Raw genomic sequence first — 17,684 nt, 5'->3', positions numbered from 1 at the left:
CACCTGCCTCAGCCTCCCAAAGTGCTGGGATTATTGTGCCTGGCCCCAACTTTACATACGGGAAAAATGAGGGCCAGACAAAGCAAGTGGATATTTAATGTAAGTGGTAGGACAATACACCATTCTGGCCTTTGAACCCTCAGTCTGGCAGTCTTTCCAAGGCATCATGAATAAATCACTCTATCATCTTTTTACTTCCTCAATGGATACCAGCTTCTTAGCATCTGTATTTTGTGAATTCAAGAGTCTGGCCTTTTGAATAATCCTGAGTTTACCTTTCGCTCTTCCTGTCTTGTGCCTCTCCAGAGACCACAGAGCTGGGCAGCAAGAAGGAGCTCAAGTCCATGCCCTTCATCACCTACCTCTCAGGTTTGCTGACAGCCCAGATGCTGTCAGATGACCAGCTCATTTCAGGTGTGGAGATTCGCTGTGAGGAGAAGGGGCGCTGTCCATCTACCTGTCACCTTTGCCGCCGGCCAGGCAAGGAGCAGCTGAGCCCCACACCAGTGCTGCTGGAAATCAACCGTGTGGTGCCACTTTATACCCTCATCCAAGACAATGGCACAAAGGAGGTGAGCTCCCCTGGCCCAGCCACTCAGTCAAACTTGACCAGCCCTCCTACCTCCTACCCTTGTGGACCCTTTGTCCAGGGGTATTGTCATCATGATCATCATCATATCATCATCATGGTGATTACTAGCATTTATTGATTCCTTACCATGTTCTAAATACTTACATAGTTTGACAATACTAGCTGTTATAAACAATAAACCCTTAAATCTCAGTGGCTTAATACAATCAAGGTTTTTGTTTGTTTGTTTGTTTGTGCAACATCCCAAATAGATGTTTTTGATTGATGGGGGGCTTTATGAGAAGTAGTGCAGGCTGGGCATGGTGGCTCATGCCTGTAATCTCAACACTTTGGGAGGCCAAGGCGGGTGGATTACCTGAGGTCAGGAGTTTGAGAGCAGCCTGGCCAACATGGTGAAACCCCATCTCTACTAAAAACACAAAGATTCGCCAGGTGTGGTGGCAGGCATCTGTAATCGCAGCTACGTTGGGAGGCTGAGGCAGGAGAATTGCTTGAACCTGGGAGGTGGAGGTTGCAGTGAGCCGAGATCGTGCCATTGTACTCCAGCCTGGGTAACAGAGTGAGACTTGGTTTAAAAAAAAAAAAAAAAGTAGTGCAGGGACTCAGCCTGTTCCTTGTGCTGCATTGACCTGATGCTTCCACAATTGCTGTGGAAGGGGAAAGAACAGGGAGGGTTGCACATCATAGGTTTAAATAGACCAAGCCTGAAAGTGGCAAATGTCATTTTTACCTCTCATGCATTCTATTGATTAGAACTCAGCCATTGTCCATACCTGTCTGAAATGAAGACAGGGAAATGGATTTTAGCTGTGTGCCTAGGAGAAGACATGGGTTTGGTGAAAACCTAGCAGTATCTACCTCAGTACAATACTTGCATTATCTCATTTACTCTGCCCTCCAGATCTGTGATTTACTTACATATATTGGTTCGATTCATATGAAATTGCTGACATTTGGCCATTTTTTACTTATAAAATGGCAATTTCATATGGTTCATTTTAATATCGTACCCCTTTTACAGCTGAGGAAACCTCAAAGATATTAAGTGATTTACTCAAAGTTGGTCTGCTCCAGAGTTTATATGCTTAGCCATGAAATTATTGCTTCTTTTTTTCTCTTCGGTTCTCTCACTTTTAATTATAGAATGGCAGGGCTTGAGGGGACCATATGAATTATTGATTCACTGGTTTGCAAACTTATCTTTATGGAACACTTTTTCCAAATGCAATCTTTCTTGAACCTCAATCCATAAAATCAGGAATAGTGATGCCACTATTTCAATGAGGCAGAGGAAGGGAGATAAAGCATCTCCCATTTGATCCCCACTCCTCCTTCTACAACACCTCCCAGACAGCCCTGGGCCTCCACTGGTAGACCACTGACTAAGTCTAGTAGAACTCTATGAATCCCGTGCCCCTCCCACAGCATACTTCTTGGCTAAGTGCTGGAGGGTGTTGAGTGCTCATACAGAGCTTCATAGAGGAAAGAGAAGGCATGGGAGAAAGGAGGTAGGGAAAGTGTCAGGTAGATGACCTAAGGAAGAAAAGAACATTGTTTGTACAAAGACCAAAAGAAATGCCTCATGACTAAGACCAAGGACGGAGGGAGAAACAAAATGAATCCTGATCATTTCCACAATATTGTAAGCCAAATTGTGGAATTTTGACCCTATCCTGTGGGCCATGAGGTGATGATGATGCATGGTTATTGGCAGGAGGCTGATGGGATTAGATTGTGTGGCAGAAGGAGGCCTCTGTAAAAAACCCAAATTCCCATCCATGGGACAGCATTGAAATAAAGCACAGGATATATATTCAATAGAATATACTACAGTAACCAAAATGAATGAGCTGTAGTGATACCTGTCAATATGAAATGAATGAATGTATTATTAACTGAAGAAAGTAAGTCCTAAAGATTTTTTTTTTTTTTTTTGAGACAGTTTTGTTCTTGTTGCCCAGGCTGGAGTGCAATGGCGCGATCTCAGCTCACTGCAACCTCCACCTCCTGGGTTCAAGCGATTCTCCTGCCTCAGCCTCCGGAGTAGCTGGGATTACAGGTACCTGCCACCATGCCCAGCTAATTTTTTGTGTTTTTAGTAGAGATGGGGTTTCACCATGTTGGTCAGGCTGGTCTTGAACTCCTGGCCTCAGGTGATCCACCCACCTCGGCCTCCCAAAGTGCTGGGATTACAGGCAAGAGCCACCATGCCTGGCTCCAAAGATTTTATATGGCACAACACCCTTTCCTCCCTTCTTTAAGTTAAAGCATACCTACACCTCAAATATACTATCTTTTAGGAATAAATACAGATGCAATAAATATGATTTAAAAAGGGAAGCAAGGAAGTGATGAACATAGGAGACAGGATGATGGTGATCTTGAGTCAGGAAAACTAAGGTAATGGCATAAGGAAGCATATGTTACATGTAAGTACTCAAGTTCCTAGCTGGTGTTTTTTTGTTTGTTTGTTTGAGACTGAGTCTCACTCTGTCTCCCAGGCTAGGGTGCAGTGGCGCAATCTTGGCTCACTGCAACCTCCGCCTCCTGGGTTCAAACAATTCTTCTGCCTCAGCCTCCTGAGTAGCTGGGATTACAGGCGTCCACCACCATGCCTGGCTAATTTTTGTATTTTTAGTAGAGACAAGGTTTCAACATGTTGGCCAGGCTGGTCTCGAACTTCTGACCTGAAGCAATCTGCTCGCCTCAGCCTCCCAAAGTGCTGGAATTACAGGTGTAAGCCACTGCGCCCAGCTCCTAGCTGGTGTTTTTGGTGGTAGATTAGTGAGAGTTCATTAAAGTTTAAAAAGTTTATTAAAACTAACTAGCTAACTGAACAAATAAATAAAGCCTACCCATGCATGGCTCAACAATGAGCTTCAGTCCTAAACTGAACACTGCAAATAATCTAACTCTGTGCATCAGAGGTCCCCAAACTAACACCAACAATAAAATACATATGTGTATGTCTCCACACCTCCAGCTGCAGGGTCAGGATAGACTGTGAGAATGTAAGAGTAGAATCAAGGAGATCCATGAGGAGGCTATTGCAGATTCCAATAAATAACAAGAACAGGCCCAGGGCCAGTGGTTCACGCCTGTAATCCCAGCACTTTGGGAGCCTGAGGTGAGAGGATAGCTTGAGCCCAGTGGGTTCAAGACCAGCCTGGGCAATATAGGGAGACCACCATTTCTGAAAGAAAAATTAGGCCAAGTGCGGTGACTCACACCTGTAATCTTAGCACTTTGGGAGGCCGAGACGGGCTGATCATGAGGTCAGGAGTTCAAGACCAGCTTGTACAACATGGTGAAACCCCATCTCTACTAAAAATACAAAACTTAGTTGGGTGTGGTGGCATGCACCTATAATCCCAGCTACTCAGGAGGCTGAGGCAGGAGAATCGCTTGAACCCGAGAGGCAGTGGTTCCAGTGAGCCAAGATCGCACCATTGCACTCCAGTCTGGGCAACAGAGCAAGACTCTGTCTCAAAAAAAAAAAAAAGAAAAGAAAAAATTGGCCTGGTGTGGTGGTGCACACCTGTCATCCAGCTACTCTGGAGGCTGAGGTGGGAGGATCGCTTGAGCGCATCAAGCGCTCAAGGAGGAGGTCAAGGCTTCAGTGAGCTGTGATTGTGTCACTGCACTTCAACCTGGGTAACAGAATGAGACACTGTCTCCAAAACATAAATAAATAAAAATACCTAGTGGTTCGACTAGTGTTGTATCAGTGAGGATGTAGTTTTGTTTAACTGGCCTTCTGGGACTTGGTGAATGAGCCTGTGAATATCCCTGTTTACTGCTCTGTGAACTCGCTCCAGTGACGGCCTTTCTGGGCCACACTGTCCTCATCTGCAATGTGGCACACTACAAGCCAAGCCACGGGACTTTTGCAATGTGTTCTTGGCACATGCATAGCAATAGATAGGCTGGTGGTGCCTTTCCTGTTTGTGCAGGAGCCAGATTCCCCTATGTCTGGATTCCATGCCAGGTTCCCTCAGCATCATTGAAATATTCAACTTATTGGAAATCCAGTGAGGTCTTTCTGAGGCTAATTAGTGGTGTGTGATCAGAGAATCCCAAGAGTGTGAAAGTGGTCACTAGATGTCACTGTTCTCCTTGCAGGAGACCTGTAGAGCTGGAAGTGCTAGTCATTCATTCATTAAGTATCTTTGAGCCCCCACTGTATGCTAAGACTGCGTTATACCCTGAAGAGTGAACAGTATGACAAGTGGATATGGTCTTTATCTTTACGGAGTTCACAGACTTATGGAGAAGACAGATATTAATGAAACAATCACACTAATAAGTAGAGTCAAGACTGTATAGAGTACTAGGCTGGTGGATTGCAAGCGTGTATTAAGGGGCCTTACGCAGTCAGAGAAGGCTTTCCTGAGAAAGTGACATGTAAAGTGAGCTTTTGGGGGCCAAGTGCATAAAATGAATATGGAAGACTGAGGTTTCAGAAAGGAAGAGGAGAATGAGAACATTGCTGGTAGAATGCCCAACTTCTGCAAACACCTGAAGAATGAGCAAATGTGACCCATTTCAGGAAGAGAATGAAAACCAGTGTGGCTGGAGCTGAGACTGGGAGAAAACTCCATGGACAATGCTGAAGAGAAGTCAGGCAGAACTGTACAACATGTGGTGAGGAGTTTAGCCCCAGGGCAATGGGGAAGCCAGGAGAAGTTAGAGCAAACAGACAGGCATGGGCACTATCTTCTCACTTCTACTCTCTTTTCCTCTTAGTGATCCTTGCAAAGAAATGTTAGAGCTGAAAGACTGTAGGCGGCTTCCTCCAAGTCTCCAGTTTCTTCTTTCCCTCCCCAAACACAAATGAAAGGCCTGTTTAAAGTGTCATGACAGCCTAAGGGATGGAGTGCCTTAGACATTTCCAAAGGAGCCAGGTTGCAGTGGGAATGAGTGGGATAGACCCACTGCAGGTCTGGAAATGATCCTGGAGGAAGGGAATATGGCCACAAAACAACGCTGGTGGGAAGAAAAAGCAGCTACTCTCGTTTTGTTTATCATTTTTTCTCCAACTCTGCCACTAACTCCCATCACCCTTCCTCCCATGACTTTTCCATCTTTCTATCATCTCTACAGGCCACATGGATACAAGAAAACACTTCAGAGCCCTGACCTATAGTTGAGGGGCCTGGGCTTTCACACTGAGACATAGCAGGTCATAGCAAGTTCTTTTCTCTTTCTGGGACTTTCTTTTCCTACTTCAAAAAACAAAGAACAAAACAGAACAAAACAAAAATTAAAAAACAGATAAGTGGAGTCAGTTTCTTTCTGAGTTTCCTACAAGACACTTTATTTACATGGAAGCAGATAGTACAGGTTCTTTGCTCTACCGGCTTGGGTTTGGATGTTTCCTCAATCCCCATTCACTATGTGATGCTGAATGGTGTCTTCATACCTCAGTTTCCACACTTGTAAAATGTGGTCTCACAATCCCTACTTCATGGGAATCAAAAGAGATAATGAATGCATAATGTCCAAGAAGAAATCACTTAACAGACGAATGTTATCTATGATAGTGATAAGAATATGTTTATTTAAAATGGCTCTTTTCTTTTTCTATGTTTCCTTTGGTAACTCCTCTTCTAGATAGTACTTGAAAACTTTGCTGGTACCTAAAGTGCTAGGGACATGACATTTTAGAATAGGATTCATATTTTGTATGGGAGAGGCCATTGGCTAACCCAAAAGGGCACTTTACAAATGGAGGGATCTCAGGGGCATTTTCTCACTTTATAAACATTGCTGGAACTTGTATTCTGTTGGCAATGAATATCATAGCTCATTCTAATGCAGAGTGGAAGTTCCTCTGTATGAGAACTCCCTACCCCTGGAGTAGAGGCTCTGAGTAAAATCCTGAACCCCATTTTATGGCACAGTTAGGGACTAACAGAGAGAGGATATGACATGCCTGAGGTTTGTGGGGTATTTTTGTCCTCTGATTCTGGACCAAGGTATTCTCGATGGCCTTGGGGACCATTGGACCCTAGCTCCTTGGGTAGTTGGGGTCTCCTTAGGTACATTCCAGTGAATGCATGGGAAAAGATGATGCCTTCTGCCTAAGCTGGAAACGAGCCCTTGATTATACCTTGTGCTGTTGTTTTGAACAAGAGAAGCAGGGAAAAACTCTTTATGAAGAATAATTTGATTAATGCATAAATCTCCTCCCTCCACCTGTTAAATGGCTCTTACACAGCCCAAAGCCACAGAGCTTGGCTCAGCACAACTGGTGCTTAAATGTACAAGACTTTGTGTGGTTGTTAACTTAGCTCCTGGGTGAAAGAGAGTCTTCCAAGTGGAGGAGGCAGAGGAGTGGCATACTAAAGAGCCAGACAGAGTTGGATTTGAATCCCTTCTCTGCCATTTACTGTCTATGTGATCTGACTTTTACTTATTTGTAAAGTAGGCAATCTAGTATTTATCCCTTTTCATCTCAGGGTTGGGAGTTTTCTTTGGGAAAACTAGAAAACGGAGACACTAGGAATCTGAACTAGGCTCTGTCCTTGATTATTATATGACATTGGACATGCTTCTACTGTCTAGGTCTCCATTTCTTTATCTGTATGATGAGAAAAGCAGGCTAACTTCATCCAAGGTCCCCTTTGGCACTGTGATAAGGTCAGCTCTAACTTCTACCCAGAATATAAAGCAAATCTTTTGAGGTTGGAAGAGGCATCCTGTGACCTGAAATTTGTTTCCCATTCAGAGACAATGCCAATTTTACTCCTTAAATTTAATACTGGGAGGAGAAAGATATACATATCTTGCACTCCATACCAGTGGCACACAATGACATAGCATTTATGAGCAGATAGGGCTATTAAAATCTTATCCTGTTTATTTTACAAATCAACCTCTTTATTTTACAGATAGTAAAACTAAGAACAGAGCTGAGGACTGAGTTTTTTCAGGTCACATAGCCAAGGCTGAATTTGAAGTAAGACATGCCTTCAACCCTTGGAAATATCTTTTATTTTTCCAAGGCTCAGTTTTCTCATCTGGGAAATGGGTGGTGGTAACTTTCCCCACAGCTGTCTGTAGAAAAATTAAGAGACTTTCAATGTTTTGAAGGCTGTAAAATACTCTGTAGATCTGAATGGTTCTTTCCAGCCCTCGGGTTTTCAGACTTCCAATCCTGTGAGCATTTTCTGTTCATGCTGCTCTAGGAAGAGTCATGTGTAATTCTAGTCTTGTGGTTGTCTGACCTTCCAGCAGATTCTTTCTCTCTGCCAGAAAAGCTTGTTTGTTTCATTTCCACTTTTTGGCTCCAACTGAGAAGAGAATTCCAAATAACTACTCTTTGAAGAGAAATTAACAGCCAAGTCTCACCCCCTCCCCCAGTTATTACCAGTACCTACCATCACTACAACCATGACCACTACCGCCACCACTATGCTACACCACTACTATCACTACCAGCATCACCCTCGCTATAGCCCCATCACTGTGATTATCTTGCATTGGTTGCCTACTGTGTGCCAGATACTGTGTTAGAAAATGTGCTATAGAGAGGAACAAGACACAGACTGTGCCTTCAAGGAGCACACAGTCTAGTAACAAGGACACATATGCTACTATAATTACTTACATATGCTACACAAATGCATGATTTATTTTTGAATAGTGCAATAGACATTCCAATAGTGTTAGAAGAGAGAAAGAAACTCTGAGAGGGAGAATCTGGAAACAATTCTTAAAGAAGGGAAGGTGGATATGGGCACATAGTAGAACTGCAAAGCAAGTTTTTTGATGATGAAGACAATAATATCCATCAGATACATATATATGTACTATGTGCCAAAAACTGTGCTAAGGACTTTACATGCTTTATCTAATTTAATCATCCAACAACTTATGAGGGAAGTACTATTATTATCCTTATCTAACAGATAAGGAGATGGAACCCCAGAGAAGCTTGAACCCAGGTCTGTAAGATTTCAAAGCTAGTCTAGACCAAAGTTGGAAAACTATGGCCCATGGGCCACATCCAGCCTGCTTCCTATTTTTATAAATCAAGTCTATGAAACATAGCCACATATCTTGATTTACGTATCATCTATAACTGCTTTCCTGCTGCAACAGCAGAATTAAGTAGTAGCTACAGAAAACAGTATGGGGTGCAAAGCTCAAAGTGTTTACTTTCTAGTCCTTTACAGGAAAGGTTTGCCAAACCCCGGTCTAGACTAAGCAATATTGGAAAAGCAGGAGACAGAAAAATGTGTCAATACTATGTGCTGAGCATGTAGAATAGAAGAATAGAAGAATAAAACCTAACAATTATCGAGTGCCAACTATGTGCCTGGCATTTAAAAAAGTGCTTCATGTGTATTTATATATGTTCTCTTACTCTGTCCCCCTACAACACATTTGAAGTATTCACTATTATGCTTACTTTACAAATTAAAAAACAAAAACCTGAGACTTCAGAGAGGTGAATAATTTACTTAAGATAACATGGCTAGTGAATTGTGGGGTGAGAATTCAAACCCAGAATGTCTGAGTCCAAAGCTTTTGTGTTCAGTCAGCCATTCTTGCAACAGGCCTGAAAGATTTGGTAGAAATAAAACTGGAAAAGGGATAGGCAGAAGGCTGCATTGTGGGCAACTTTGAATGCCATGTTGTAAAATTCGGGTGCTGTGCAAACCATATAGAGTCTTTCAAGATTGTAGGTCAAGGAAAAATATAACTAGATTTGAGTCTTAGAGTAGCAACTATAGCAACAGAAGATGAATTGCGGGGACCAGGACTGATTTTATGGCAAGGGTTGTTAATTTGGCATTTGGGGATCCTTGACTTTATAGGATCTTTGGATGCTCATCCCTAGAAAGTTTTTGCAGAATTATACATTACTTATATTTTTCTCCTGGAGAATAGATCCATATTCTTGACTCAAATGTTGTAGAATACTAAACTAAGAGGGTCAGTGTCAGTTAGATGGGGGGTATATGTATGAGATGGCTGAAGAGTGAGAATTCCATTTACATCATTTGAACAAGTATTGACTAAGGGGCTCCTATTGGCCAGACACTGTTCTGGGCACTTGGGATACCCTGAGGAGCAAAGCAGGCATTATAGCTTCACAGTCTAGGAAATTAATTTCTACTGGAGTGTGTGTGAGAGAGACATGAAATAAGCAATCAGCACAGTAAATAATATAGTATATTAAAAAGTATACAAAAAAAGTACAGCAGAATAAGGGAGGTCAAGAGTGCCTAGTGAGTGGAGTTCTGGATCTCAGAGTGTCTCAGTGGATCAAAATCACTTAAGGTGAGAATGGGGGAAGTGTTTGTTTAAAATGGAGTTTCCTTGTCTCTTCCTACTGATTCTGTTTTTTTTTGTTTTTTTTTTTTTGTGGGTTGGGAGCCTTCATTTTCCCAGCCTCCCCAGGTAATTCTGGTACAAAATGAGCTTGAGAACCACTACCCAAACTGGTTCATATGTCATTTTCAGTTTGAAATTCCTTCAGGGAATTCCTTGTTTAGGGATTAAGAAAGTCAAGTACTTCCTATAATCTAGCTTAAACCTTCTCTGCTATTGTGGGTCACTTCCTTTCTATCTTAGTGCATTCTGAGAAGGAGGTGAACCGGCCAAGAATCAGACTGTCAGGCAATCCTTGGCAACAGGGAAGATCAAAGAAAAGAGGGAGAAGTAATCCACATATTACTCAACACACTCATGGTCAATTACAAAAGAGGAACTTAATACTTGGCTTGTCTACCTGCAAAACTGGAAAACATAGCTCTTTCATGGGACCTGAAGACTACCAGATTCAATAAGAAATGCGAGATATACAGTTTTAGCAAATGCAAACATTTTTGCATGTCAGAGAATATTTTTTTTCCATGGGACATTGAATTAGTTATTACATGCAATAAAAAAAGAGAATGGCAGAAAAGCTTTCCCTTGTCCTTTTAATAATAACAAACATTTACTGAGCACTTCCATGGTGCCAGGAGCTTAGCTAAAGCACTTTATGTACTTGGCTCACTGAACCCTCTCATCAAGTCCACATGGTGGGTGCTATTATTATCCTTTTTTCCCCAACATGAAAACTGAGGCATGGAGAAGCTAAATCACTTGTCTCAAGGTCTTACAAATAGGAACTTGTAGAGCCAGGATTTGACCTGAGCACCTGAGCCTCTTCTCACTTTCCTCTCTACTAGCTTCTCTTCTTCAAATTTTAAATAAAAGTTAAAGTCTAATGCATGCTAAAGACAATGTCATTGCATTCAGTTACCTTCTCCAGCTACTGTCTCTTCATTTCTTAACAGCCAAAACTTTTGAAAAAGCAGGCATCTCTGTCTACATTGATTCACTTCGATTCATTCTAGGATTGGCTCCTACCATAAAATAAAAGTACAGTAACTTCTCATTTGTAACCCTTGCAGACCACTGTACTATGGTTGCCATGAATTGCCTCCCTTTCTTCTGACAGTATTTTCTATTTCCATTTTTAAAATCCTGAAACCAAGGAGTCAGCCTTGATAACTCCTCTTTCCTTTCCACCTGCACCCATTCCCCACAAAATACAACCCATTCCAAGTCCTGTAGATTTATCTCCTTAAGAATTTCTCTAATACATTCACTCTTTCCCAAACTGATCCAAATCTTGCCTGTACTATTTCAATAGTCTCCTGTCTAATAACAACCCCTGCCTCTTTTAATCCTTCCACTTCTTTGCAGCCAGAGTGATATTTTCAAAACTAAAACTTGCTCACATCACTTTCGTGATTAAAACCATTTATCGACTTCCAGTTGCTCTTAAGATAAAAACCAAAGTCCTTGCCATGGTGCTCAGGGGCTGCTTGGGCGGAAACCTTCTAATTTCTTAAAACTCATCTTGTCTTCTTACTTCTCTTGCTTCCTGTGCTCCAGCCATAGTGATCTTCTTCTAGTTTTTGGAAACACTGTGCTCTGTCCTGCCAAAGAGACTTTGCACAGGCTATTCCCTGTAGTTGGAATGTATTTTTCCCCTTCTTTCCACTGAGTGAACTGTTACTGATTTATCAGATTGCCAAGGTTTCCAGATTTGATAAGATCCTCCTTGTTTATTTTTTCACTTACTTTCTTGGGTCTCTTTGTCTTTCTTCCATAACAGTTATCACACTTTCTAATTATACTTTTATTTTTTGAAACTGATTGATGCCTGTGTCTCCTCCTCTTCCAAATTTTATTATTTTATTTTATGGTCATAACAGAGTTTATGAGGAAGAAACAGCAGATAAACTCAGAAATGGAAGGGATTATAGAAGCATCCAACCCAACCCTAGTCTATTTCTCAATTCCTTTCTTTTGCACCTTGCAAAAAGTTGTGGAGACTGTGTCTGAACATTCCCAGTTTTCAAATGGCTTGCTCAGTGACACCTAAGCATTTGGTTTCCCTCACCGAGAGAACATCCTTTCTTATATTAAGTCAAAATATTTTCCTATACATTAGCAGGTAAACTTCATGAAACCAGGTACTACACCAACTTTTAGTCAGCCTTATACCGACAGCTGATAGTAAAGTGCCTGATGCATAGTAGAAATTCAATAAATACACTTAAAAAGAAAATAAATGATTGAATGAATGAGTGAAAAAAAGGTCACCAGCTTGCACTGACACTCTTTCATGGTGTTTTCACATACATTGGCTCCTTTCAATAGAAGCATGAAGGTAGCACTGTTTATCTTCATTTTTTAGATAAGGAAACTTGAGACTCAGAGAGTGTAGCCAGCCATCATCTGAAGCCCTGTAAGACTAGCAAATATCAGAGCCAGGGCTGGAATCCTTTTTCCAGCTGTCCAATGTCTACTTATTTATCACACCACCATCATTTATCTGAGGGTGTCATCAAAGACTGCCCCAGCCAGGGCAATGCTGGGCTTCCAGGAAGAGCAAGCTGCAGGCTCCATCCCTTTTGGAGCTTAACCCTGTTCACAGGGAGCTCTTCTTAGGTCATTAGGCAACTTCAGTCAACAGTGGTGGTAAGGGCCTGGAGAGAATTCACAAACAATCCAACTCTCTTTCTATTTCTTCCTAATCTAAGAAGAAAAAAAAAGTCATTCCAGATGTGTCTCACAATTCACCAGGCATATGCAGTTGAAAGCAGCATGAGTTTGTACCATTACACAGATGGTCAGTCTGTGCAGTGCCTTCTCTAGGTGACAGAGTTACATCATGCCTAGCATCTCTGAGCAAAAGGATTCCAGGCTATAAATTCATATCCTGAGAGGAGAGGAAGACCACAAAGAATGTGGATTCTCCTTGGATCATGTGTTTCTTTTTCATTTTTAGCTTCATCTCCAAATTATCCCATTTGGGAGAGCACTGTTAAATCCCAGGATCTGCTACCCACTCCAAAATCAACTTAGTTCAGAAAAGCATAACATACACAAAGGTAGAGAGAATATAATAATGAACTGCCATGTACCTATCATCTTCTAGTTTTAGTAGTGATTAATCCTGTGTTACCTCCTCTCACATCTGCTTCTACACTGCCCTGGTAATTTTGAAACACATCTCAAACATGAGATAATTTCATGTGTAAATGTTAAAATCCTTATCTCTTAAACATAAACACTCAAAAGATAACCTTAATGCCCTATCCAGGATTCCTAAATGAACGATAATTTCTCTATATCATCAAACATCCCATTATTGTTCATGTTTACTGGATTGTCTTATATCTTTGGTACTTGTTTGTTTTTTCAAATCAGAAACTAAATAAGATCCAAATGTTGTAGTTGGCTGATAAGTGAGTCTCTTCTAACCTGTCTATCTCTCTTTTTATTCCTTGGGATATTTTATGGATAAAACTGGGTTGTTTGTGCTGCAGAGTTCCCCACAACCTGGATTTTGCTGATTGCATTCACATGGTGTTATTTAATGTCCTTATCTGGCCTTGTATTTCTTGTAACTGTGTAGTTAGGTCTAGAGGCTTGATCGGGCTTGATGGTTTTTTTTTTGGCAATTCCCCACAGCCCATATTGAAAAACCTGTAGACAAAGGTGATCTATTAGAAAAACTTGAGCTTTTTACTCTAGTAGTTGAAAGATTGTCTTTCATCTGGTCACATCTTTCATCAAGCCCTAGTTGTTGCCTCTCTCCTATGTTAGTTACTTGTGGCAATGGACTTTGAGCCTTAATTCCCTCACCTATGTTTACTAACTAGAGTTTACTAATAATTCCTAATATCTGAGAATACTGTATTGCATGAGATGGGTATTAACATGTTTAGTTTTGTGCTGGTGCGTAATAAGTGCTGAGTAAAGACAAATTCTTACTTATCATATTTTTGCTACTTTCTGCTTTTCCTCTTATTCCTCCTTCTCTACATTTCATTGTTTTATTTTTTGATCACAACAGAGGCTACGAGAAGAAAGAAATAGAAGGGTTTATACAGGCATCTAGGCCAACCTGTATGTATTACTTGATTCTTTTCTCCTATATCCTGCAAGAGCTTCTTTTTGAATTCTCCTGGAATGGTTTGCTGAGTGACCTACTAAGCATCCTGTTCCACCACTACTAGAACATCCTTCTTTATGTATGTATGTATTTTTTTGAGACCAGGTCTCACTCTGTCACCCAGGCTGGAGTGCAGTGGCACGATCATTGCTCACTGTAGCCTCGATCTCCCTGGCTCAAGCGATCCTCCAACCTCAGCCTCTCAAGTAGCTGGGACTATAGGCACATGCCACCATGCTTGGATAATTTTTGTATTTTTTGTAGAAATGGGAGTTTTGCCATGTTTTCCAGGCTTGTCTTGAACAGCTGGGCACAAGTAATCTGCTAGCCTTGTCCTCCAAAAGTACTGGGATTACAGGCATGTACTACCGTACCCAGCCCCTTCTTTATATTGAATCAAAGTATTTTTCTATACATTTCTTGTCCTTGTAGTTTCTAATTCTGTTTATCAACACTGTACTGAGCAGGTTTTAGCTATTGATTTACTAGACAGAGCATATGTTTTGAAAGCGAGAGATGAGGGTTTAAATACTACTTTTGTCTCAAAAAAATACTGTATGCCTTTTGGGATGTTACTTAAATTCGTAAGCTTTTGTTTTACCATCGGTAAAATGAGATTAATAATATCTACCTTATACAATTGTTTCACAAATTAAGAGATAGTTCATGTAAGGTGCTTAGCAACACTGCCTTGCACTAGAAAAAGCTCAGTGAAAGTTAATCCTCTCTCCAATTCTAAGTGACAGTCTTTCAAGTATTTGAAGATATTTTAGGTCTCAGTTGATTTTTTCTTCTCTCCTGGAAATCATTCCCAGTTCCCTCAACAGTTTGTCATCACATGGGTCTGAATCTTGATGTAGACTCTACCTTAGTCCATTTCTGCTAACAAAATACTTGATACTGGGTAATTTATACGGAATTTTATTTCCTCATGGTTCTGGAGGCTGGGAAGTCCAAGATGAAGGTGCTGGCAGGATTGGTGTTTGGTGAGGGTTGCTCTCTGCTTCCAAGATGGCACCTTGGTGCTGCATACTTGGGAGGAGAGGAACACTGTGTCCTTAACATGGCAGAAAGGACCAAAGGGCAGGGCAAAAGAGCACTTGCTTTAACCTTGAGCCCTTTTATAAAGATAATACTCCCATTTATAAAGGTAGAGCCCTCATGACTTAATAACCTCCCAAAGACCACTCCTCTTAATACTGTTGCATTGAGGATTAAGATTCAACATGAATTTTCGGGGAGAGATCATGATGTAATCCACAGCCAACTCAGTCTTATCCAGGCCATACTGATTATAGGGCTCTGAAATAACTGCAGTATGTCTAAGTACATCTTTTTCTTTCTTTCTTTTTTTTTTCTTTGAGATGAAGTCTCACTCTGTCGCCCAGGCTGGAGTGTGCAATCTCAGCTCACTGCAACCTCCACCTCCCGGGTTCAAACGATTTTCCTGCCTCAGCCTCCCAAGTAGCTGGGAGCTGGGATTACAGGTACCCACCACCACATCTGGCTAATATTTGTATTTTTAATAGAGATGGGGTTTCACCATGTTGGCCAGGCTAGTCTAGGACTCCTGACCTCAGGTGATCCACCTGCATCAGCCTCTCAAAGTGCTGGGATTACAGGCATGAGCCACTGCACCCAGCAAGTCTAAGTACATCTTAATGTATGGTATGTGATTTATGAAGAAAGAAGTTAGAAAGCACAGAGGCTATTTCCGTTGCCTTAGAGTTAAGGATAGAAATCAAGTATCTTGCTTCCAGACTTTTAGACTTATCCTGGGTCACAATAGCTTCTATATTTAGTGCCATATACATAGTAGGTATTCAAAACATAACTTTTGAGTGGCTAAAGGAGACTGACGCTCAGAAGGAGAAGTATCAGTATTACATAGCAGTAGGTTATGGAGCTAAGATTTAAACCCTTGTTTGTCTGGTTCCATAGCTTGTGGTCTCAGCATGCAAAGAATAGAGCCTTTGTCATTACTGGCTTTTTCCACTACAGTTTGGCATGGGCAAGCCTGTTCTATCATCAGATAGCCTTTCTTGGATTCTAGAGTTTCTTCTATCATTTTCCACTTCATCTTTCTTTGACCATAAAACTTCTTGCTCCGTTCTCACTTCTTATTTCTCAGCCCCTTGGAAACTGGGTTTTGCTCCACCATCTAATCAAAGTTTTTGTCTCAAAACTCAATGAAAACCATCTATTAGCTCAATTCAAAGCCCTTTTCTTAATGCCTTTTCAGAGATCCTACATCCACTATCAAAAGAGCTTGGGCTTTTGGGCTTGGCTTCTTCAACTTCAGCTTGCTCCAACCTGGAGCTTTTTCAGAAATTATTGCTTGTCTTCCAAAAATCAGAGGGAACACCAGGCAATTGAAGTATAACGTAGCAGGTGCTTGAGGTAGGGTAGTACATGTTAGTGAAGCTCTTCTCATCCCTCTACAGTGCTTCCCTGGTGATTTTTTCTCATATGTGCAGGTACTCATTTTGAATAGAGCTGGAGAATATATAGGTATAGATAATATATAGGTTTATAGATATAGGTATAAATATAGATAGATTTATTTGCTTATTTTTTATGTATCAGGAGAGCATTAATTACATTCAAGGTGAACAGACTTACCAGTGAGATTTTGATATTTTAGAGGTTTTAGTGAGATGTCATAGAGAGAACCATGGTTTTAACCGTCAACCAGATTTACATTTAAATTTCACATTTCATGCTTACCTGTTGGATGACATTGTACATTCAACTTAGCCTACCTGAGCTCCGTTTTCTTAGATGTAAGATGGGAGTAATATGAGCACCCACTTTATAGGGTGGCTCTGAATGTTATATAAGATGATGGATGTAAAGAAAAGGCAGTACTTGAATCAGATAGACTTAGGTTTAAGCTCTCATTTTGCCACATACTATGGAGATATAATTTAATTACTTATAACCTCAGTGGAGGTAATAATAGTATTTAACTGTTAAATAAGACTATGCATGTAAAGCATTTAGCAATAGCTAGTACGATTGAACACTTGATCAATATTAGTTGTAGCTTCCTCTTGCTTCCTTTTTTTTCTTCTTAGTCTTCCCCCACTTCTCTCTCTTTTTCTCCCCCAATCCTCTTCTCTTGCTTCTTATTAAAGCATCCAGCACAGAGTAGGCATAAAAAAAATAGTAATTGTCTTACCCTTAGAGATCCACTGATTCAAAAATTAAAAGGGCAATCAGTTCACAGAAACAAGGAAAGTCCTACTTCCCCAAAGGCAAAGATAGTATCTCTGATAGCTTGTTCCAGTGCCATATTGTTTTCTCAATAGAAAATATTACAAAGAATAAAAATAATTCCAAGTGAGTGTAGATGTGCCTTGAGTTTCTTTTGTCTGTAAATAAGCATGTCTAACAGCTGTTAAAAAATTATTTTGCTTATTTTTTTTTTTTTTTTTTTTTTTTTTTGAGACGGAGTCTCGCTCTGTCGCCCAGGCTGGGGTGCAGTGGCGCGATCTCGGCTCACTGCAAGCTCCGCCTCCCGGGTTCACGCCATTCTCCTGCCTCAGCCTTCCGAGTAGCTGGGACTACAGGCGCCCGCTACCACGCCCGGCTAATTTTTTGTATTTTTAGTAGAGACGG

The 17,684-nt window shown here is 41.1% G+C and overlaps 1 protein-coding gene and 1 long non-coding RNA gene across 9 annotated transcripts in view; one reads left to right on the top strand and one right to left on the bottom strand.

Moving 5' to 3' along the window:
• The window catches only part of ASTN2 (astrotactin 2), a 991,946-nt gene that overhangs the window by 762,958 nt on the left and 211,304 nt on the right, over nucleotides 1-17,684 (top strand). For all 8 annotated transcript variants that reach the window (NM_014010.5, NM_001365069.1, NM_001365068.1 and 5 more), the window contains one exon: nucleotides 307-572. In NM_014010.5, coding sequence (NP_054729.3) covers nucleotides 307-572 — 266 coding nt within the window. The remainder of the gene's footprint in view (nucleotides 1-306; nucleotides 573-17,684) is intronic.
• LOC105376240 (uncharacterized) overlaps nucleotides 7,803-17,684 on the bottom strand; it is a 46,451-nt gene continuing 36,569 nt past the window's right edge. Inside the window, exon 3 of the long non-coding RNA XR_930277.3 lies at nucleotides 7,803-7,887. This is a non-coding gene — a long non-coding RNA (uncharacterized LOC105376240). The remainder of the gene's footprint in view (nucleotides 7,888-17,684) is intronic.

Source organism: Homo sapiens, chromosome 9 (assembly GCF_000001405.40).
Source record: "Homo sapiens chromosome 9, GRCh38.p14 Primary Assembly".
In the NCBI taxonomy this organism is placed as follows: domain Eukaryota; kingdom Metazoa; phylum Chordata; class Mammalia; order Primates; family Hominidae; genus Homo; species Homo sapiens.
The sequence above is the reverse complement of the archived record's forward strand: the minus strand, read 5'-3'. Positions and strand labels throughout refer to the sequence as shown.